The 22,676-nt window shown below is 52.9% G+C and overlaps 1 long non-coding RNA gene and 1 pseudogene across 1 annotated transcript, besides 1 other annotated feature; both read right to left on the bottom strand.

Annotated features, from left to right (window-relative positions):
- Nucleotides 1-616: 616 nt before the first annotated feature.
- FAM247D (family with sequence similarity 247 member D) lies at nt 617-11,830 on the bottom strand. Its single transcript, XR_951230.2, has 2 exons — nt 11,292-11,830; nt 617-1,242 (listed from the first exon to the last, which is right to left on the bottom strand). It is a non-coding gene; the product is annotated as a family with sequence similarity 247 member D (long non-coding RNA).
- Nucleotides 15,741-21,643, bottom strand: GGTLC5P (gamma-glutamyltransferase light chain 5 pseudogene; annotated as a pseudogene).
- Nucleotides 21,114-21,613: an enhancer, noted in NCBI's record as "H3K4me1 hESC enhancer chr22:20610495-20610994 (GRCh37/hg19 assembly coordinates)". NCBI's record gives its function as "activates a minimal SCP1, AML or CMV promoter by ChIP-STARR-seq in primed H9 embryonic stem cells {active_cell/tissue: H9 hESC(primed)}" and the evidence as "EXISTENCE:reporter gene assay evidence [ECO:0000049][PMID:30033119]".

The following is a 22,676-nucleotide window of genomic DNA, read 5'->3' as shown; positions in this document are numbered from 1 at the left end:
GATCTGCCATTTATCAAGTATGGAATCTTGAACAAGGGGTTAAACATCTGAATGTCTCCATCACTTCATCTCTAAAGTGGGGGTGCTCACACCCACTGGGCTCCCCCGCCCAGGTTGGTGCCGGACTCTCCCTGGGCCCCCCTGTTCTCTCACCAGCCACATCCATTCTCCCCCCAGAGGCGCTAGTGACTGTGCGTGGCTTTCCATTCCCACCACGTTTGTCTCTAACCCCAGTGGCAGATCAGTGTAAGAACACAGCTGAGTGCTCCTCGCCTCCTTGCCCCTTCAAGGGCTCCTCACCACCCACCAGATCAGGTGCAAACTTCCAAGCCTTACTGGATCCCCTTCCACATTCTGAGCTCCGCCTGCCTTCCCATCGCTATCCTTCCCCACCTGCCTCCCTGGTAGAGAAAAGCGGAGTGTGTGATGCTGTCTGAATGCTGAGCACGGCCTTTTGCAGCCAGTCCACTGTGTACGCTGCCCCTATCGGAGACCTCCACCTTAAGCCTTTCCAGCCTGGAGGCTCCTCCCAGGGCCCCACAACAGAAGTGACTTCCCTTGCCTTTGAATTTCTATAGCACAAGCCCTACTGCCCCCCGTTAAAACTGCAAAGTCCTTTTGTGGAAAATAACTTTATTCATGACTGTGTTTATCACACTATCTTATGGAGAAGAGATGATCAATAAATATTTGCTGAATAAATGAATAGCAGTTACAAAACACTTGATTCATATGGAATTAATGTTGGTTCTCAAAGTGAAAAATTACAAACAGCACTGATATTCAGCCAGTATACAAGTCTGGTCACAGCAGTTGTATAATACTGAAATACCCCCCGCCACTGACCTTTGGCCCCCAGATGCCTCCCACTGCCACTGCTCTCCCCACTGGGAACCCCTGAAGTTCCCACAGGCTCATAACTAAAGGGCTAATGTCTCGCACAGCAGCGAGCACCCAGGACCGAGCAGCCACATGGCCGGGTCTGCTGGTGAAAGCATCCATTCTGACTGATCAGGACCTGAGGGGCCTCATGGTTACATATTTTGATAATATCCCTAATTATAAATAAGGCTCAGTTATATAGTTTGAAAACAATGCTTCTCCTCATTGCAAAATCTCTTAGAAGACTCCGTAGATCCAGGAACGGAAATGGAAAATGACAGCGTGTCAATCTCTGAAGGTTTTGGGCATTTCCATTAGCACTCCATCTTCATGTAAACCAGAAGATATGCAGTTTCCTGCCTAGAGAGAAGAGAAGACACATCAGCACAGCGGCATGAAACCTTCATCAGAAAACAATGCTTCATTAATCCGTGACAGGACAAGCGTCAGCAAACTTCCAGGCGGCTGGATAAGGCCTTCATCTATCCATCACCTTGGAGAGGAACAAAATAGGTGGCCTGGGAAGTTAAGCACTATGTTTCTATTCGTTAATATCTAAAGCGGAGGTTAACAAGCTATGGACACACAAGCCAAACCCAGCCCTCTTGGGGTTTTTTAAATCTACTTTCAACTTTTATTTTAGATTCAGCGGGCACATGTGCAGGTTTGTCACGTGGATATGAGCATACTCCCCAACAGTTGGCCTTTCACCCCTCCCCTCCCTCCCCATCCAGCAGTTCCCAGTTGTTGCCATCTTTAAGTCAATGAGTCCCCATGTTTAGCTCCCATTTATAAGAGAGAACATGCATTATGTTTTGTTTGGTTTTTGCTGGTTTTTTTTTTTTTTTTTTAATGGAGTCTTGCCCTGTAGCCCAGGCTAGAGTGCAGTGGCACAATCTTGGCTCACTGCAACCTCCGCCTCCCAGGTTCAAACGATTCTCCCTCCTCAGCCTCCCGAGTGGCTGGGACTACAGGCGCCCGCCACCACGCCCGGCTAACTTTTTGTATTTTTAGTAGAGACAGGGTTTCACCGTGTTAGCCAGGATGGTCTCAATCTCCTGACCTCATGATCTGCCCACCTCAGTCTCCCAAAGTGCAGGGATTACAGGCGGGAGCCACCGTGCCCAGCCTTTTGTTTATTTTTTGACGAGACCGTTCTTGCTCTGTCACCAGGCTGGAGTGCACTGGCACAATAATAGCTCACCACAGCCTCGTGCTCCTGGGCTCAACTGACCCTCCTGCCTCAGTTTTAGCTTCCTGAGTAGCTAGGACTACGGGTGTGTACCACCATGCCTAGCTATAATAATTTTTATTTTTTTGTAGAGATGGAGTCTTGCTTTGTTGCCCAGGCTGGTCTTGAACTCCTGGCTTGAAGTGATCCTCCTGCCTCGGCCTCCCAAAGTGCCGGGATTAAAGGTGGGAGATCGCACCCAGTCTCCAACCCTCTTTTTGCAAGTAAATGTAACTGGACCCCAGCCATGCTCATCTGCCCATGTACTGTCTGCGGCTGCTTTTGCTCTACAGGGCAGAGTTAAGTGGTTGCAACAGACACCGCACAGACCACAAAGTCTGAAGTACTTTCTCTCCAGCCCTTTACAGAGAAAGTCTGCCAACCTCTAATCTCAATAACAGGGAAATCAATGACAACCACAAAGTGACAAAGATTGGGTGTCTAAGATGGATGCTCAGAATAAACAAGAGAGAAAGATGAAAAGTAGAAGGAGGATTTCAAACGCAAGCTTCACCTAATCCGTTATTTTTCAAATGACCAGGCCTATCTCTGTAGCTGAAAATCACCTCAAATAGGATCTCTGATATACAGTCTCCAAAAGCTCAGCCAAGAAACTTACAAAGTCTCTCTGCCTTAACTTCATCCACCTTTTTTCTCTCCAGCTTCTCCTCGGTAGTTAATGATTATAAAAATATTTATTGGCTCATGCCTGTAATCCCAGCACTTTGAGAGGCCGAGGCGGGCAGATCACGAGGTCAGGAGATCGAGACCATCCTGGCTAACACGGTGAAATCCCGTCTCTACTAAAAATACAAAAAATTAGCCAGGCGTGGTGGCGGGCGCCTGTAATCCCAGCTACTCAGGAGGCTGAGGCAGGAGAATGGCGTGAACCCACAAGGCGGAGCTTGCAATGAGGTGAGATCCCACTACTGCACTCCAGCCTGAGCGACAGAGCAAGACTCCATCTCAAAACAAACAAACAAACAAACAACCAAAAAAACAGTGTGATGGCCAGGCGCAGTGCTCATGCCTATAATCCAAGCACTTTGGGAGGCTGAAATGGATGGATGGCTTGAGCCCAGTAGTTTGAGACAAGCCTGGCAACATAGCGAGACCTCATGTCTACAAACATCTTTAAAATATGCCAGGCATGGTGGTGCATGCCTGTAGTCCCAGCTATTCAGGAGGCTGAGGTGGGAGGATCACCTGTGCCCGGGAGTTCAAGGCTGCAGTGAGCTATGATCACACCACAGTGCTCCAGCCTGGGCAACAAAGCAAGACTCCATCTCTAAAAATAAAATAAAATTAAAAAAAAAGATCTTCGCTGTAAAAGAGGTACGCTCAAATGCAATAAAAGCATATAAGAAGGCCGGGTGTGGTGGCTCATGCCTGTAATCCCAGCACTTTGGGAGGCCGAGACGGGCGGATCACGAGGTCAGGAGATTGAGACTATCCTGGCTAACGCGGTGAAACCCCATCTCCTCTAAAAGTACAAAAAAATTAGCTGGGCTAGGTGGCAGGCGCCTGTAGTCCCAGCTACTCAGGAGGCTGAGGCAGGAGAATGGCATAAACCCGGGAGGCAGAGCTTGCAGTGAGCCTAGATCGCACCACTGCACTCCAGCCTGGGTGACAGAGTGAGACTCCGTCTCAAAAAAAAAAAAAAAGAAAAAGAAAAGAAAAGTTCTTGTGACATTTGTGTATGAAATCAGCCTTCACTACATGGATAGGACCAGCACGCTTCTGCGGCACGACTCTGCAATCTTACTACATTTTTTTTTACTTTGTATTTTATTTATTCCTTTTGAGACAGAGTCTCACTCTGTCACCCAGGCTGAAGTGCAGCCGAGATCTCGGCTCACTGCAACCTCCACCTCTTGGGTTCAAGCAATTCTCTTGTCTCAGCCTCCCAAGTAGCTGGGACTACAGGCACACGTCAAAACGCCCAGCTAATTTTTGTATTTTTAGTAGAGATGGAGTTTTGCCATATTGGTCAGGCTGGTCTCGAACTCCTGACGTCAGGTGATCGACCTGTCTTAGCCTCCCAAAGTGCTAGGATTACAGGTGTACATTTATTTATTTATTTGAGATGGAATCTTGCTCTGTATTTATTAATTTATTTAGTTGAGATGGAGTCTTGCTCCATCGCCCAGGCTAGAGTGCAGCGGTGCAATCTCGGCTCATTGCAACCTCTGCCTTCCAGGTTCAAGCGATTCTCCTGCCTCAGTGTCCCAAGTAGCTGGGATTACAGGTGCCTGCCACCACAGCTGGCTAATTTTTGTATTTTTAGTAGAGACAGTGTTTCACCATCTTGGCCAGGCTGGTCTCGGGCTCCTGACCTCATGAACCACCTGCCTCAGCCTCCCAAAATGTTGGGATTACAGGCCTAAGGCACCATGCTCGGCCATATTTATTTATTTAATTATTTAGAGACAAAGTCTTGCTCTGTCACCCAGGCTGGAGTGCAGTGGCGCCATCTCAGCTCACTGCAGCCTCCGCCTCCGAGGTTTAAGCAATTCTCATGCCTCAGACTCCTGAGTAACTGGGACTACAGATACTTGCCACCACGCAGGGATTTTTTTTTTCTATTTTTTTGTAGAGACACAGTTTCACCATGTTGGCCAGGCTGGTCTCGAACTCCTGACCTTAGGTGATCTGACAGCCTCGTCCTCTCAAAGCACTGGGATTACAGGCATGAGCCCCTTGCCCGGCCTCTCACTACGTTTAAGTGATGCCATGGCTCATGCCTGTAATCCTAGCACTTTGGGAGGCCAAGGCAGGTGGATCACCTGAGGTCAGGAGTTCGACACGAGCCTGGCCAACATGGGGAAACCCTGTCTCTAGTAAAAATACAAAAATTAGTCAGGCGTGGTGGTACAAGCCTGTAGGCCCAGCTACTTGGAAGACTGAGGCAGGAGAATCACTTTAAGCGGGAGGCAGAGGTTGCAGTGAGCCAATATCATGCCACTGCACTCCAGCTTGGGTGACAGAGTGAGATACTGTCTCAAAAAAAAAGAAAAAATAAGAGAAAAACATATGATGCCGGGGCATCTCGGCCTCAATACCTGGGTGAGCACAGTCATGTCCAGGCCAGGGCTGCTGGTTGAGGTCCGGCCCCATCTCTTCCAGCAGAAAGGGAGTAAGCTTGCAGGGCGGCTGGGGGACAAGATCCCAGGATCTCAGCCTCTGCTCATGGATCAGCTCTGAGACCCCGAGTGAGCTGGGGGTGCTCTGTGCGCGTTGGTTTCCCCAGCTGTCAAGTAAAGGGATTGGATGAGGAAGTCTTGTCAAGGTGGAATGATGTCAGATTTGGGGCAGCAGTGAATGATCCCGTTCCTTGGGCCATGCCAGTGGCCTGGCCTCGGCTCAACACAGCCCCAACACTCTGGAATGGGGATGAGGGGGCAGTCAGCTCTTGCTCCTAGTAAGAGAGATGCAACAGGGCTCTGTGGCTGAGCTGGGTGCCTTGCCTCACACCTGTAATCCCAACCTTTGAGAGGCCGAGGCAGGAGGATTGCTCGAGGCCGGGAATTTTGAGAATAGCCTGGACAACATAGCCAGACCCCATGTCTACAAAATAATAATAAAACATACAGCTATAGTCCAAGCTACTTGGCAGGCTGAGGCAGGAGGGTCCCTTGAGTCCAGGAATTGGAGGCTGCATTGAGCTATAATCGCACCACTGCACTCCAGCTTGGGTGACAAAGTGAGACCCTGTCTCTAAAAGAAAAAAAAATTGGCCTGTGAGCATGGGCTTGATTTTCAAACAGGACCCGGAGGGTAGGGTAAACGTGTGGGTAAATCTAAATGAATGTTATTGGTATAAAATTACAGTAGTATAGAAAATGATATCTTGTGGGGTTTAAAAGAAATAAAACATACTGAAATATGTATGGGTACAGTTATATATCTGGGATTTGCACGGAAATAATGTGGGGTAGAGGGAAGCAGGAAAGAGTATACATGAAATGAGCTTGGCCATAAGATTGTTGTTGAAATTGAATGGATACTCGGGGCTTCATTACACAATTCTCTTTACTCTTACATAGCTCTACACTCTCAACATAAATAAGAATAAAAACACAAAAAACACACAGATACATCTATGCACACACACATATTTAAAATACACAAAAATATTAGCATATAAGTCACTGGGGGTAAATTTAGTTCCTGTTCCAAGGTTCTTGTACTGACTAGGAAGAGGATAGAAGTACTAACTCATAGGCTGGGTGCGGTGGCTCACGCCTGTAATCCCAACACTTTAGGATGCCGAGGTAGGCAGATCTCTTAAGGTCCGGAGTTCAAGACCAGCCTGGCCAACATGGTGAAACCCTGTCTCTACTGAAAAAGAATACAAAAATTGGCCGGGCATAGTGGTGCACACCTGTGGTCCCAGCTACTCAGGTGACTGAGGCAGGAGAATTGCTTGAACCCAAGAAGTGGAGGTTGCAGTGAACCAAGATTGCTCCACTGCACTCCAGCCTGGGCAGCAGAGGAAGACTCTCTCTATCTCAACCACAACAAAAAGTACTAGCTCATGTTAGACTTTGATAAGGGAAGGATGCATGTTGTAAGCTCTAAAATAATCCAGTCATCTTTTAAAAGAACTCTAAGACTGCACAGTTATGAAACTAATAGAGAAGGAGGAAATTAAATAATAAAAATAATAAATCCAAAACAAGATGTGAGAGGAGATAAGAAGAAATAGAATAGGCATGGAAAACAAATTGGTGGTGGGTTTCAACCCAAATAAATCATTAGTTACATTTAAAAGGACAATAAAAATTAAAATAATTGAAAATAAAGTAAAACCCAACTAATGCCTTTTATATAAGGGTACAGAGAGGTGGAAGATCATGAAAAATATGTCATGCATGTACTAACCAAGAAAGCTGTATAACTTTTTTTTTTTTTTTTTTTTTTTTTTTTTGGAGATAGAGCCTCACTCTGTCTCCCAGGCTGGAGTGCAGTGATGTGATCTTGGCTTACAGCAATCTCTCCCTTCTAGGCTCAAGCGATTCTCCCACCTCAGCATCCCAAGTAGCTGGGACTACAAGTGTGCCAACTTAGAATTATACTAGCCACACCCAGCTAATTTTTGTATTTTTTGTAGAGGCAGGGTCTCGCCATGTTGCCCAGGTTGGTCTTGAACTCCTGGGCTTCAGTGATCCACCCACCTCGACCTCCAGCAAAGTGCCAAGATTACAGCCATGAGCCACCATGCCCAGCATAACTATTTTTAATGAAGTAGACTTTAAGAAGAAAAGTATTATTAGAGGTAAGGGACACATCACAGAAAAGAAGAATTTACTAGGAGCCAGGCGCAATGGCTCGTGCCTGTAATTCCAGCACTTTGTGAGGCCAAGGCGGCGGATCACCTGAGGTTGGGAGTTCAAGACCAGCCTGACCAACATGGAGAAGCCCTGTCTCTACTAAAAATACAAAAATTAGCCAAGCATGGTGGCACATGCCTGTAATCCCAGCTACTCAGGAGGCTGAGGGAGGAGAATTGCTTGGACCCAGGAAGTGGAGGTTGCGGTGAGCTGAGATTGTGCCATTGCATTCCAGCCTGGGCAACAAGAGCAAAACTCTGTCTCAAAAAAAAAAAAAAAAAGAAGTTACTAGCTAGTTTCGGTAATTCTTAACATCCAGGAAACTGGAATGTGAAAGTTTTTCAGAGAAACTAAACCAATAGATTATACATAGAGAGAGACTTATTTAGGAATTGGCTCACATGATTGTGGGGACTAGCAAGTTTTAAAATCTGTAGGGCAAGCCAGCAGGCTATAAATTCAGGTAAGAGTTGATCTCGAAGTCTGGAACCTAAAATCTGTAGAGCAGTCAGCAGGCCAGAAACTCAGGTAGGGTTTGTGTGTTACAGTCTTGAAGCAGAATTCCTGCTTCTCTGGGAAACCTCAGTTTTTGTTCTTAAGGCCTTCAACTGATTGGAGGTGGCCCACCCATATTATGGTGGGTAATCTGTTTTACTTAAAGTCAATTGACTGTCAGTGTTAATCACATCTATGAAATAACCTCCCAGCAAGATATTGACAAGTATTTGACCAAACAACAGGACACCATAGCTTAGCCAAGTTGACACATAAATTAACCATCAGGAGCAAGTAGAATATCCAAAAAACAACATACTAGGGGTATTATATCTTATATAGCTATTATAATTATATAAAACATATAATTATAGAATGACGATATTAAGATAAGCATTAGAACAAAAATATAAACTTTTCTTTCTTTTTTTTTTTTTTTTTTGAGACCAAGTCTTGCTCTGTCACCCAGGCTGGAGTGCAGTGGTGCAATCTTGGCTTACTGCAACCTTTGCCTCCTGCGTTCAAGTGATTCTCCTGTCTCAGCCTCCCAAGTATCTGGGATTACAGGCACCTGCTACCATGCCCAGCTAATTTTTGTATTTTTAGTAGAGACATGGTTTCACCATGTTGCCCAGGCTGGTCTCCAACTCCTGACCTCAAGTGAGCCACCCCCCTCGGCCTCCCAAAGTGCTGGGATTACAGGTGTGAGCCACCACACCCAGCCAAAAATCACCTTTTTTACAAGGATCAAAACAGTCATTATGCTGGAGATGACAGACCTCACTGTCACCATGCTCCTTTTGTATGTCTACTAGGCACGGTGCTGGGTCCACACTCACAGAAACCTTAGGAACTCGCACCCAGGGGCTCCGGCTGTAGCAGAATCCCAAGAATAAAACCTGGTGCTGAAAGAGTAGGAGATGAGGCCGGGTGCCATGACTCACTCCTGTAATGCCAGCACTTTGGGTGGCCAAGGCGGGTGAATCAAGAGATAGAGACCATCCTGGGCCAACATGGTGAAACCCTGTCTCTACTAAAAATACAGAAATTAGCGGGGCGTGGTGGCTGGCACCTGTAGTCCCAGCTACTCAGGAGGCTGAGGCAGGAGAATCATTTGAACCGAGGAAGCAGAGGTTGCAGTAAGCTGAGATCGCGCCACTGCACTCCAGCCTGGTGACAGAGTGAGACACCGTCACAAAAAAAAAAAAAAAAAAAAAAAAAAGCAGGACACTGAACTCTGGGAGGGCCTCCTGGTGAGAGGTGAGCACAGAGGGGAGAGATGGAGGCAGGAGCATGGGCTTCTGGTGGCCCCAGCAGACCCTGTGGCAGCGTGGCCAGGGTCCTCTGCAGGGAGGAATCTTGGCCAGGATGACGCTGTAGCAGGCCTCTTCCTGAGGCCTCCAGCCAGCCCGGCCAGGGTCCCAGCGTCCAGTGACCCCTGTTTCACAGCAGCAGCTGGGGCCAGCCCCAGGCTCTCTTCCACTCCCAGCTTCTTAAAACTGGAAGTGGAGAGAGTTGTTTGATAAAACACTGGGGCAAACCACATCCTCTCTTCACCAAGGGAGAGTTCGAGGGGATGCCGGCAGAGGGAGCTTTAGAGTAGAGACCCCTACCCAACCAGTGACCGTCACGCACACAGCAGGGCATGCTATGGAGACCCCCAGACAGTCACTCGGGGAGACCCAGCAGGTCCAGACTCTTCAGAGATCTGTGGCAGCAGGTCCCCACTCCCAAAAGCCACGTGCCCACGGGTGGTCTCTGGTGCCTGAGACCCCAGTCTCATTTGCATCTTTGCAACTTCGAGTTTAAGTGGGTGTCGCATCTCTGTATGTCCTCCCGAGCAGAGGAGGGGCACAGCCTGGGGTGGCAGCTGACGTCAAACCCTCAAATCCCCTGAGAGCCACTGGGGAGACTAAGCAGTCCCCAGCCCCCACTTGTCCCTGAGCTGCCATTCTCAGCCCTGTGGGAGGAGACAGAAAGCCCTGAAGAGAAACCAAAGGACCAGGTCAGGAGGGGCTGGGGGGGTGGCATGAGCAATCAGGGCAGGGAAGGATGGACAGATGGGGGAATGGAGGGAAGAAGGAATGAATGAAAAGGTGAATGAATGAACAAAGAGAGAGAACGGCCACTCCTCCCTTGCTTTAGTTTACAAAGTACTGGGATCCTCCCAACAGCCTGCAAGACAGAATTTCTGGGAAGCAGACCAGGTGGCTGGCAGGGAGGGGAGGCTTGCCCTGGCTTTTGTGGGCCCAATGGGAGGCAGGGGGCAAGAAGGGGCATCCTGTGTGTGTCCTCCCTGCAGCGGCAGCAGCACCTTCCTGGAAGAGGGTCAGGAAACACCCGCTGTGGCCCCTCTCCACCACGCCCTCATCCAGGACACCAAGTATCAGTCACTCAGCTCACGAGACCCAGGCCCTGACTCAGGGAGAGAGGATGTGAGGGGTGGGGCACCGGGCTCCTCAGGACTGAGAGACCTGAGATGTGGCCCCGGGCTGGGTGTAGGGGCAGACTGGCTATGGCAGCATTGTGTGTACCCCAGCAGGCCAGTACCCACGCAGGGAGCCTCCAAACCCCTTCACCCATGACCCTGGGAGAAGACCGCAGCCTTGGAGAATTGGCCTCACTGAAGGGGCCTGCACCGGCCAGCAGGGTCAGGCGGGGCCAGACAGGTTCCCACCTGGGATATGCAAATGGGCCTCCTGAATCCTGGAGCCAGGTATGGACTCACACACCACCATTGTCCCCAAGTCCCCATCTGCCCCACGGGCACACCCTGCCGCCTGTTCTGTGCAAGGGCCCTGAGGCTGTCTCCTTGCGCTCAAGCCCTGCAGGTGCTGAAGCCCACACACACGGCTCCTGCTTCCTGGGCCAGTGCACGTGCACACACACACACGTGCACACACACACACACCCACAAATATACCCACACACAATCACACACATTCACACATACCCACCCCCCATACTCACACTCACACATTTACACACACCCACACACCCACACTCACACACTCACAGTCACACACACCCTCACACAGCGAAACACAATCACACACATTCACACCCACCCACACCCCCACACACTCACACTCACATATACTCACACACACCCACACACACATACACAAACACAATCACACACATTCACACACACCCACACTCACACATACACACACCCAAACACGATCACACACATTCACACACACCCACACCCCACAAACACACTCACACATATACCCACACACACTCACACATAATCTCTCACACACACACATGCTCACACACACACGCCTTCTCCAGGAGGGGCTGGCTGCCAAAGGCCACCCAGCTTCCTCCCACGTCTCACTCACCGTACAATATTTGAGAAGACCTTGGAGTCAGCAGCAACAGCGGTGTGGGCAAAGGCCGGGGGTCAAATGGGGCCTGGTGTCGAGAGAGGACCACAGCCAGCACAATGACAGCCAGCGCCAGCCCCAGCCCCAGCCCCAGCAGGACCAGGTCACCCATGGCTCCGTAGTCCTGGGCCATGGCTCTGCGGCCCAGAAGGAGAGGGGAGGCCGGTGGGCAGATGGAGGGACAGATGGGTGGGCAGATGAATGGACAAGAAGATGCATAGATAGACTCACAGGTAATTGGACAGATGGACAAACAGGTGGGGGCTGAAGACAGACACGAAGATGGATCGACAGACAGGCCAGATAGCTAGACAAAGAGGACAGTAAGAGAAAGATGGTCAGATAGACAATGGGACAGAGATGGGCTTACAGATGGGCGGACAGACAGACAGGTCTGAACAGCGGGCTGCCAGATGGACAGATGGGTGAATGGACAGATGGCTGGCAGCTGTGGCGAGCTGCTGCCCTCACCAAGTGCACACTACGGAGTGGCCAAACTCATGCCTCAACTTCTAGTTTTCAGCTCCTGCTTGTTCCTGGCAGGAGGCCAGGCAGCAAAGCGTCTGAGGGGAGTTTTCTTTGCCTAGAGAAGTCAGCTGCTGTGTTAACTCCCTCACTGCTGGTAGGTCCAAAGGCCCGACCTACCGCCCACCAGAGCCCATGGTCACACTGTCGCAATGTGCAGGAGAACTTGGTGCGTGCTGCACTGCGGTTGCCAGGTAGGGGCAGGGCTCCCTGGAACCTCCACACCATTCCCCAGGTTCTCAGCAGCTCTGGGAAAGCAGAGCTGGGGCCGCTTAACTCTGCCCTGGATCCGGCAAGGCTGCCCCCCTCCCAGAGTGGAGCCCTGCTCCCCAGCTCCCATCTCTATCCCCTAACCCTCTCCGCATGGCCCAGCCTAGTCAGCATCAAGGTGGAGCTGAACAGAGGCAGAAGGAGGAGGACCCAAGGTGGTGTCACTCAGGACCCGGGTTCAAGTCCTTATGCTTCTGCAGCCTGGCCTGGGTCCCCCAACTCCCCCAGGGTGACCAAGGGCTTCCCAGTCTGCACAGAGGACAGGGGGTCTTGACAGCATCAAATGCTAGTGACTACGAGACACTTACGTGGGAAATGCAGACAGACCATGCCTCTAGCCCTTGGCACCAGGCACCATCCATCCCTGGGACTTGCTGTCCTGGAAATGCAGCATGGTCCTCCAGGGAGGGGGGCTGTGCCATGTGGGGGCCCCACCCCACCTGCAGCTCTTTCCCACCCTGGCTGCAGGTCTGCTTCCCTGAATCCAAATCCGCTACTACTGTGCTGGCAGCGCAGCCTCTCTGGGGACACTGGCCTGGCTCTGTTCTCCCCAGGCCTCAGGGTGCCTAAATGGGAGGCAACCAGGGGAGTGAGGACCCACTGAGGGGCTCCGTTGACCAGGCTCAGCAGGGGTGCAGGTGATGTGGGGTGGAATCCTTCCCACATGGCCCCCACAGTCCTCCCCGCTTCCTCCCCAACTGAACACTGCCTGCTCCAGATGTCTACACCTGGAGTCTGGGCCCCTCCATCTGGGCAGCAGAGAAACTGAGGCACAGAGACAGACTGTGTCCTTACAGGGCACACAGCCTGCCAGGCCCCTATGTCCGGCCAGAGCCCCTGGCCAGCCTGGGCTGCAGTGATTGTTTAGAGGTAGGCTGTTCCCACGGCTGCCTCTCACGGTAGGGGGGCCTGCGGACGCCTCCTCCCGCCCCCACCCGACTCCCAAGCCTCAGTGACATTGCTCAACCAGGAGCTGAAGTGCATTCCTGGGCTCAGGCCAGCCCACCCACCGACCCGCTGCAGTCCTGGAAGCCCAGAGGCCTGGGCAGCAGGAACAGTGGAGACAGCAGTGTGGGGGACGTCCCCCTCCTCTCCCCACCATCCTCGTCAGGCAGAGGCCAGGGTGCAGGGACCGCCCGAGCAAAGGCCCAGGGAAATGAATGGGTGTCATTCTGGTCCTGACCCGAGGCACAGCCAGGAAGGTCCCTGTGGGGAAAAGAAAGAGATATCAGACTGTTACTGTGTCTATGTAGAAAGAAGTAGACGTAAGAGGCTCCATTTTGTTGTGTAGTAAGAAAAATTCTTTTGCCTTGAGATGCCGTTAATCTGTAACCCTAGCCCCAACCCTGTGCTCACAGAAACATGTACTGTGTCGACTCAAGGTTTAATGGATTCAGGGCTGTGCAGGATGTGCTTTGTTAAACAAATGCTTGAAGGCAGCATGCTTGTTAAGAGTCATCACCACTCCCTAATCTCAAGTAAGCAGGGACACAAAACACTGCAGAAGGCCGCAGGGACCTCTGCCTAGGAAAGCCAGGTATTGTCCAAGGTTTCTCCCCAGGTGACAGTCTGAAATATGGCCTCGTGGGAAGGGAAAGACCTGACCGTCCCCCAGCCCGACACCTGTAAAGGGTCTGTGCTGAGGAGGATTAGTAAAAGAGGAAGGCCTCTTTGCAGTTGAGATAAGAGGAAGGCATCTCTCTCCTGATCGTCCCTGGGCAAAGGAATGTCTCAGTGTTGATTGTATATTCCATCTGCTGAGATAGGAGAAAACTGCCTTAGGGCTGGAGGTGGGACATGCTGGTGGCAATACTGCTCTTTAATGCATTGAGATGTTTATGTATATGCACATCAAAGCACAGCACCTTTTTCTTAACCTTGTTTATGACACAGAGACATTTGTTCACGTGTTTTCCTGCTGACCCTCTCCCCACTATTACCCTATTGTCCTGCCACATCCCCCTCTCTGAGATGGTAGAGATAATGATCAATAAATACTAGGGAACTCAGAGACTGGTGCCAGCGTGGGGCCTCCGTATGCTGAGTGCAGGTCCCCTGGGCCCACTTTTCTTTCTCTATACTTTGTCTCTGTGTCTCTTTCTTTTCTCAGTCTCTTGTCCCAGCTGATGAGAAACACCCACAGGTGGGGAGGGGCAGGCCACCCCTTCAGGTCCCTGAATGTCCTTCCTCAGGAAATGATGGGGGAAGGGGCGATGAGAATGAAGGAGACGATTTAAGTCCCTCACCCCCCGAGGTAGTCCTGGGCTGAGCCCCATGGGACCTAGAGAACCAGGGTGTACCCCACCAGCATTTCGGGTCCAGGAAGCCTCGTGGCCAGCTCCCACTTCTCTTCCTGCTGTGCAACCCAGAGCAAGGCCTGCCCCTCCAGCTTCAGTCTTCTCCCCTGCAAATGGGGCCACGGCCTTTCCTCTCAGGCCAATATAAGGATTGAGGCCGGGTGCAGTGGCTACCCCTGTAATCCTAGCACTTTGGGAGACTGAGATGGGGGGACTGCTTGAAGTCAGGAGTTAAGACCAGCCTGGTCAACATAGTGAGACCCCATCTCTATTGGTTTAAATTTTTTTTAAAAAAATTAAATAAATAAAATAAGGATTGAAGAGTGACTTGTACACCAGTTGAGCCCACCTCCATCTCACCCTTGCAGAGCCCCAGAGACACAGCCCTCCAGAGCTCAGACCCAGTGGGACTTGACTCCACAGGCATAAAACCCTGTTTGTCTATGGGCCCTTTGGAATCACCAGGTTTTCGGGGCTCCTGAAGGATAGCCCCGACCTGGCCTCACCTGGCCCCTGGCCCCAGTGCCCCTGGTGATATCCAGGTGCTGGGCTGTGATCACCGCCTCCCACCAGCCCACCTCCACCAGCCCTTCCCAGAACCCTGCTCCAGGTGTTGGAACTGTGCACAGAGGAGGGAGCAGGCCCCGAGGGAGGCCTGGAGGGGCTGCCGATGGTGAAGGCTGCTGTGTCGAGCTGTTTCCTTCCGGACCCACTCCCTCTGGGCTGCGTCCCCGGCTGGTCCAAGCCCTGATCCCTGGGATCTGGGGACATCTTCCCGTTTGCTGTTCCCTGAGAACCAGGCCTCCCTCTGGAGAGGATCACAAGCTTGGGTTTCACTCTGGGCTTGCTCTTGGGAACCCCCCAGGGGCATGGCTCTGACCGAGATGTTTTCCTCCAGCCTGTTGCCCAGTCCCCATTCCTCGGACCCTCAGCTTCACCTCCAGTGTCATCGGCAGGGTGAGCTGGACGCCTACGGGTCTGAGAAGGCGCCCGGGTTCCCAGCATCGGCTGGCCACCCTCTGCCTAAGAAAGCGCCAGGGTCGTGACACCCCCTGGTGGCTGATCCTAGGTAGTGTCACTGCCCAGCCCCAGTAAGGGAGGGCCTGGCCCCAAAGTCTGAGGGATCAGGGTGGGAAGGGGCAGGGTTTGGTGTGAACCTTCCCCTGGCCCCCAGCCATGTGCCTGGCTCTCCCCATGCTGAAGATGCTGAGGCTAGTTCCAGTGTCCGCATTGTGAAGATCTCCGAATCCCACCTCTCTGTTCCTCCCCAGCCAGATGGCTCCATTTCACACACAAAACACTGAGGCCCAGAGAGTGGGGAGACAGGCCAGGGAGGCCACCTGGAGCCTGGCACAGTGGCCTCATTTATTATGCTGCTCTGCTGCTCACAGGGGAAGCCCGTCCCCCAAAGTCCTCTTCCTCATCCTGGTGAGTATCTTGTCCCTGGATTGCTTGTCAGCCTTGTCTGCCTGGAGCACTCAGTAGCCAGCAGGTTCCCCGCCTTTCCTGGAGTCCGAGGCAGCTGCCCAGCCACCAGCCGTGCGGACGATGGCTTGCACCACAGCGATGAAGGTGGACGCGATCTGGGTGTGATGGTGCCGGGTCTCCAGGGCTGCAGTCACTGCCTGGGGGTGGGAGGAGAGGGGAAGCCTGAGCAGGGCTCCAGATGCCACCTGAACCACACCTGTGTGGTCACAGGCCTCAGCCCAGGTGGTGCCATTTCAGGCCAGGTCATCAGGAAGAGCAGGTTGGGGCCTGCTGGGTCTCACTGGAGCAGGGGGCTTGGCCCTCATGTCACAGGGGCTCCAGATGGCCCAGGCACTAGAGAGAGGACACCAACCATTGTCCACTCTGTGATGATCCAGGCCTCCAGCCCAGGATGCCCTGGGACCCCACACCGTGACTCAGTTTCTCCAACCCCCGGCCCACCTGGTCAATGTTTCTCTCCACTGTCGTGACGTTGGGCAGAAGCTTGTTGTGCAGCCGGGGCTCCTCCACGGCCCTCTTCACGTCATAGCCGAACCAGAGGTTGTAGATGATGGCCTGGGGCATGGGAGTGTGATCAGCGTGGCTTGGGGGCTGTGCAGAGTGGGCAGGGCCAGGGAGAAAAGGGGTGACACATACCAGTGCAGTGTCTGTGGTGATCTGCGTGCCCCCAGCAGCTCCCACCACCATCCGGACCTGGCCGTCCTGGCCCACCATGATCGTCGGGCACATGGACAAGAGCGGCTGCTTCCCTGCGGCCGATGGGAGAAGACAGGGATGCCCGTCAGCTGCCTGCCCAGGACACCCGCCCCTCTCCACCCCAGTCCCCCACCCCCCGGACCTCCACCCCATACCTGGCTGGATGAAATTGGCAGGTGAGGGGGGTGCCCCAAACTCATTGGTGATGCTGGGAGAGCTGAAGTCGTCCATTCATTATTGAACAGGATCCCACTGACCGGGGAGCAGACCTTGGAGCCAAAGCTACCGCCCAGCCAGGTCAGACAGCACCCGACCTTGCCTGGCCCAGCCTGGTCCCTATCCACCCACTGAGGCTCAAACATACTCACTGAGAGGCCCAGGATAAGCTACCAAGGTTGGGCCTCAGTTTCCCACCAGGAAAAGAGGTGATGGAGCCACCTTACTGGATAAGTGGGCAGTCCCTGGGCCACCCGCCCCTGGCCCTTTCCCACCCAGGCGGCCCAGCAGCCCCTACTAGAGGTTGATGGTGCTGGTGGCGGACACAGCACTGCCGTCCTCTGCGACGACAGACAGGTGAGCAGTGCCCCCGTCATCCGGCGTGTAGAACTCGGGCTTGTCGTAGGAGATCGGGTGAGTGGTGTGGTCAGAGATCTGGGACCGGAGCTGGGCAGCGAAGAACTCAGAGGTCATGTTGCGGACCACCTGCTGAGACCCCAGAGCTGGCCTGAGGAGGTGGGGAGGGGGCACAGGTCTCAGAAGGCCCTTGACTGTGACTCTGACCGCAACCCTCTGGCACCCACAACCTTCCGTGGCTCCCCAGGACCCAAGGGCAGGCCCAGGACCTTGCATGACCAGTCTGACTCCCTGTCTCTGTCGCGTTCCAGCAACTCTGAATGTCTGTCTGCCTGGTCCTCAGCCTCCAGACCCTTGCCGCATTCAATCACTCATTCTTTCATGCAAAAAATATTTCTAGAATTTGCACTGCATGCCTGGCACTGGGGAATCAACAGGGAACAGACACTTAAGTCCTGCCCTCATGCCAAGAAAAACAAACACACACAGGGAAAGTGCTGAAACCACAGGCCAGGTAAGGGGAATCAAGAGGCATGAGGTATGGGCAGAGTGGTCAGGGAGGGCTTCTCAGAGGAGGCAACGTGTGAAAAGAGCCTGGAATGTTGCCTAAATGGTCAGTGCAAAGGCCCTGAGGCAGGTGGTATAGGCTGGTGAGCGATAGGCAGAGAGTGAATGGAGTGGGGTGGGGAGAAGAGGATGAAGATGCAGGCTGGGGCCCATCCCACAGGACCTCCTAGGTCCCATAACAACTGGCTTTTGCTCTGTGCCATGCAGGCTTAGGGCAGAAGAATGAGGAGGCTGGGGAGTGTTTTCACAGGGTCCCTCTGGCAGCTATGACGGGGATAAGGATAAAGCCCAAAGGGGAGGCTGTGGGTATCAACCAGGCAAGAGATGATGGCCTGGGTGGGAGAAAGAGAAGAATCAAGCATGGTGCCGACTAGCGAGGCCGGCAGAAGGGGCCGGTTTGGGGATGGTCAGGAGCTTGATTTTGGATACTTCATCAGACCCAAAGAGCATGGGTGCACGTATAAAAAAAATAAATAAATAAGCATGGGTTCACGGGCAAGGGCGGGCTGAGAGATGAACATGGAGGTATTGACATTGAGTGGCTGCTGGATGCCATGAGCCTGGCCAAGGTCCCCAAGGCAGTGGCGAGGAGGAGATGAGGAGGTCAAAGAGGAGACAGAGAGGATGGACCCGAAGGCCGAAGAAAATGCCTCAAGAGAGTTTCAACACCGGGCGCGGTGGCTCACGCTTGTAATCCCAGCACTTTGGGAGGCCGAGGCCTGTAATCCCAGCACTTTGGGAGGGCGGATCATGACGTCAGGAGATCGAGACCATCCTGGCTAACACAGTGAAACCCCGTCTCTACTAAAAATACAAAAAATTAGCTGGGCGCGGTGGTGGGCACCTGTAGTCCCAGCTACTTGGGGGGCTGAGGCAGGAGAATGGCGTGAACCTGGGAGGCGGAGCTTGCAGTGAGCCGAGATCCCGCCACTGCACTCCAGCCTGGGGGACAGCCTGGGGGACAGAGCGAGACTCCGTCTCAAAAATAAAATAAAATAAAATAAAATAAAATAAAATAAAGTTTCAGCAACACCCCACGGATTAGCTGACCAATCCCAGGGAAAGGTGTTCTGTCTGAATCTGCCCTCAAGGAAACAGAAAGGCAAATCCACGATGTGGGACATTTTCCAAGACTACTGCCCTGGGCTTTAAAAATCAACAAAACAGGCCAGGCACGGTGGCTCATGCCTGTAATCCCAGCACTTTGGGAGGCCGAGGCAGGCGGATCACGAGGTCAGGAGATCGCGATCACGGTGAAACCCCGTCTCTACTAAAAATACAAAAAATTAGCTGGGCGCAGTGTCGGGCGCCTGTAGTCCCAGCTACTCGGGAGGCTGAGGCAGGAGAATGGCGTGAACCCAGGAGGCGGAGCTTGCAGTGAGCCGAGATAGCGCCACTGCACTCCAGCCTGGGCAACAGAGCGAGACTCCGTCTCAAAGAAAAAACACACCTGTAATCCCAGCGCTTTGGGAGGCTGAGGTGGGAAGACAGTTTGATCCCAGGAGTTTGAGACCAGTCTGGGCAAGACCCTGTCTCTAAAAAAAATACAAAAATTATCCAGGTTTGGTGGCACGTGCCTCTGGTCCCAGCTGCTCAGGGGGCTGAAGTGGGAGGATTGCTTGAGCCCTGGAGGTTGAGGCTGCAGTGAGCCAAGATCACACCACTGCACTCCAACCTGGATGACAGAGACTCTGTGTACAAACAAAAACACAACAAAAACAAAACAGCCAAGGGAGCCTACTGTAGGTAAAGAGAAGGGACAGCAGGTTGTGTCACCCCGACATCCTGCTGTGCTATGTTCAAGTCTCACTTTTGAGACACACCCTGAGGTGCGACATCAGTAACCTACTGTGGAATCCCTCAGAAAAACACGAATCCCAATAGATGTGGGTGGAGACGGAGAGAGTTAGGAAATCCGGCAGAAATGTCCACACTGCAGAATCCAGGAAAAGGGAACATTGATGCTTGGGCAGTTTTGGGTTTTTTTTACATTTTTGTAGGTGCGAAAATTTGCAAAATGAAAACTCGAGGAGAGTGTGGTGAGCTGTGTGAGATGCTGCTGAGTGGGGCCTGATGGGGAAACTGAGGCTGGACATGGCGATCTGGTGGCATGGGGATAGAGCAGGGGAGGGGATACCCTGAAGGGAGAGAGGACATAGCCCAGCCATGTTTGCTCTAAGAGGAGCAAAGGACAGAAGGAGGCAGCAGATAGAAGTCTCTAGAGCAATAACAGCTGCCTTTTTTTTGGGAATAATCCGTGATAAAGAAATAAATCATCAGAGGCAGACAGGAGCATTGTAGGAACAGCACCCCGAGCCAGCGAGTAGATGAAGGACCTGGCCTTAGCCAAAAAGGAGGGCAGAGGGACACGCTGCAGTGGCTCTGTCCCCTTAGAGAGACAAGACACCAGGTCACTGGCTGCAGCGGGAGTCAGAGGTGCAGAATGCTCACAGGGAAAGAGAAGACACCACCCGGGCAGCTGACGCCCCTCCTGGGAGGTCACTGGTCAGTGTGGGGGGGTCTGCAGATCCGCCCAGGAATGCCAAGGACCCAAGTAGGTAAGGAGGGATGTGAGGATCCTCAGCGGGAAGGGATATGACAGGGTCTTATAGGGACCCAGCATGGAGCTGGGGCAACTACTGGGTGAGTGGGTCAGGTGGTGCAGGGCTGAGGGTGGCATCTGGGAAGCGTTAGTTTGGAGTGACAGGGAGTGGGTGGCCGAGGTCTCTGTTCACCTGGCCCTCTCCCTTTCACCCATCCATCTCACCATGCCCGAGGGCTGCAATGCCCCCATGCATTCCTCATCTCAGCACTGAGCACTCAAGAACCACAGCATGTGCAAAGGACCTGAGGTAGGAGGGTGGCCACTAATTCCCCACACTGTCAGTTCTGTGGGGCAGAAGCCAAGACTGGGGGTCACCCACGAGTCCATCCGAGCACACAGTAGGCCCGCAATCAAATTCTGTGGCAGGAATGGATTCATAAAGCATATGTGAGGCTGTAGCCACCCTGGGGAGCCCACCTGATGCCTCTACGGCAGGCCCCACACCCACAGTGAGCCAGCCCCTGCCCCTTACCTCAGTCACATCCACAAACTTGGGGTCCCCAAGCAGGGTCCTCTTGGCGTAGGCAAACCGGAAAGCCTCTACGATGCGGTGGTACGTCAGGCCCTTCTGCTCGGGGGTCTCCACGCTCTCCCGGGAGAAGTTGTACCCTGGTTGATCAGAGCCAGGTGCATGTTGCTGAGCCCCAGAGGCTCTGAGGGGCTCAGAGGGTTAACACCTGCCTGAGCCACTTTGCCCACCTCAAGGAGCGTTTAATAACCAATAGCAGCAGCTGCTTCAGAAGGCTGTGGTGAGAGTGAAGTAAGGTGAGGGCTCCTGAGCCTGGACCTCACGTCACGCATCAGCTCTGGCCATTCAATGACCAAGTGGCAGGGTCACCCACTGGACCGGGGTACCCTCTGGACCGGCCCTGCAGCCCTGAGCTCCTGCACCTCTCTCCCTCCTGATGACTCCTGTTCCTCCTCCAACCCTTGAGCATTGCCCGCTTCAGCCCTGTTGCTCTGCACTGCCTCCTTCAGGACATGGTGAGCTGTGACGCAGGGACACACCTCAGGAGCTCAGTGATGGAAAGACGTGGCATGGGGGGCGAGCAGAGATGCAGGAGGGGTGGGGCGTGGGGAGAGAGAGGCAGTGTCATGGGTCCTACCACACGGCTGTGGTGCGACCACTCACCTTTGAGGATGTTGAGGATGAGGGCCAGCACGGGCCCGCTGAGCCGCGCACTGGGCATGTACAGCACCGCGTCTCCCAGGCTGATGTTCAGCGGGTGCTCGATCAGCTCAGCACGGTAGTTGTTCAGGTCCTCAGCTGTCACAATGCCCCCTGCAATGGGACAGCAGCTCGAATGGGCGCTGGGATGGGGCTGCACCACTGCGTGGAGGATGGAGCTGCACCAGTGGTGTTGGGGGCAGGCATGGCTGCACCATGGTGGTGGGGAAAAGCCTGTACCTACCAGGGAGGACAGAGTGCACTACTGGAGGGGTGGGACTGTGCCCTGGGAGGGGGCCACAGGCAACCTCACCTCCTTGGGAACCTCACCAGCTCCGGCACTCCTGTCTCCCTGACACTGCTCACCACCCGACAGCTGGGCTGGGGCCACCTGCCCTCTGCCTGCTTGGCTTACTGGCTTCCTGTCTGCCTTCTCTCATCTGTGGCCAGAGAGTGTTTTCTTTTTTCTTTTTTTTTTTTAGAGATACGATCTTGCTCTGTTACCCAGGCTGGAGTGCAGTGGCTTAATCACAGCCTTGAACCCCTGGGCTCAAGTGATCCTCCAGCAGACCCTCCCCAGTAGCTGAGACTAAAGGCACAACTACACCCAGCAAATTTTAATTTTTTTGTTGTGTTTTGCTATATTTCTTTCTTTCTTTTTTTTTTTTTTTTGTGAGACGGAGTCTCGCTCTATCGCCCAGGCTGGAGTGCAGTGGCGCGATATCGGCTCACTGCAAGCTCCGCCTCCCAGGTTCACGCCATTCTCCTGCCTCAGCCTCCCAAGTAGCTGGGACTGCAGGCACCCGCCACCACATGTGGCTAATTTTTCTGTATTTTTAGTAGAGACAGGTTTCACTGTGTTAGCCAGGATGGTCTCGATCTCCTGACCCCGTGATCCACATGCCTCGGCCTCTCAAAGTGCTGAGATTACAGGCGTGAGGCACCATGCCCGGCTGGGTTTTGCTATATTTCTTTTCACTATGCTTTGAATTTTTTGTTTTCTTGTTCCCCACCCCCACCCCCACTATATTTATGTAGATTCTCAATATTTTTTTTGTAGACTCACTATGTTGCCCAGGCTTGTCTTGGACCTCCTGACCTCAACTTCTACCTCAGGCTCCCAAAGTGTTGGGATTACAGGCATGAGACAC

Source organism: Homo sapiens, chromosome 22 (assembly GCF_000001405.40).
Source record: "Homo sapiens chromosome 22, GRCh38.p14 Primary Assembly".
Taxonomy (NCBI): Eukaryota; Metazoa; Chordata; class Mammalia; order Primates; family Hominidae; genus Homo; species Homo sapiens.
This window is presented reverse-complemented; position numbering and strand designations above follow the sequence as displayed.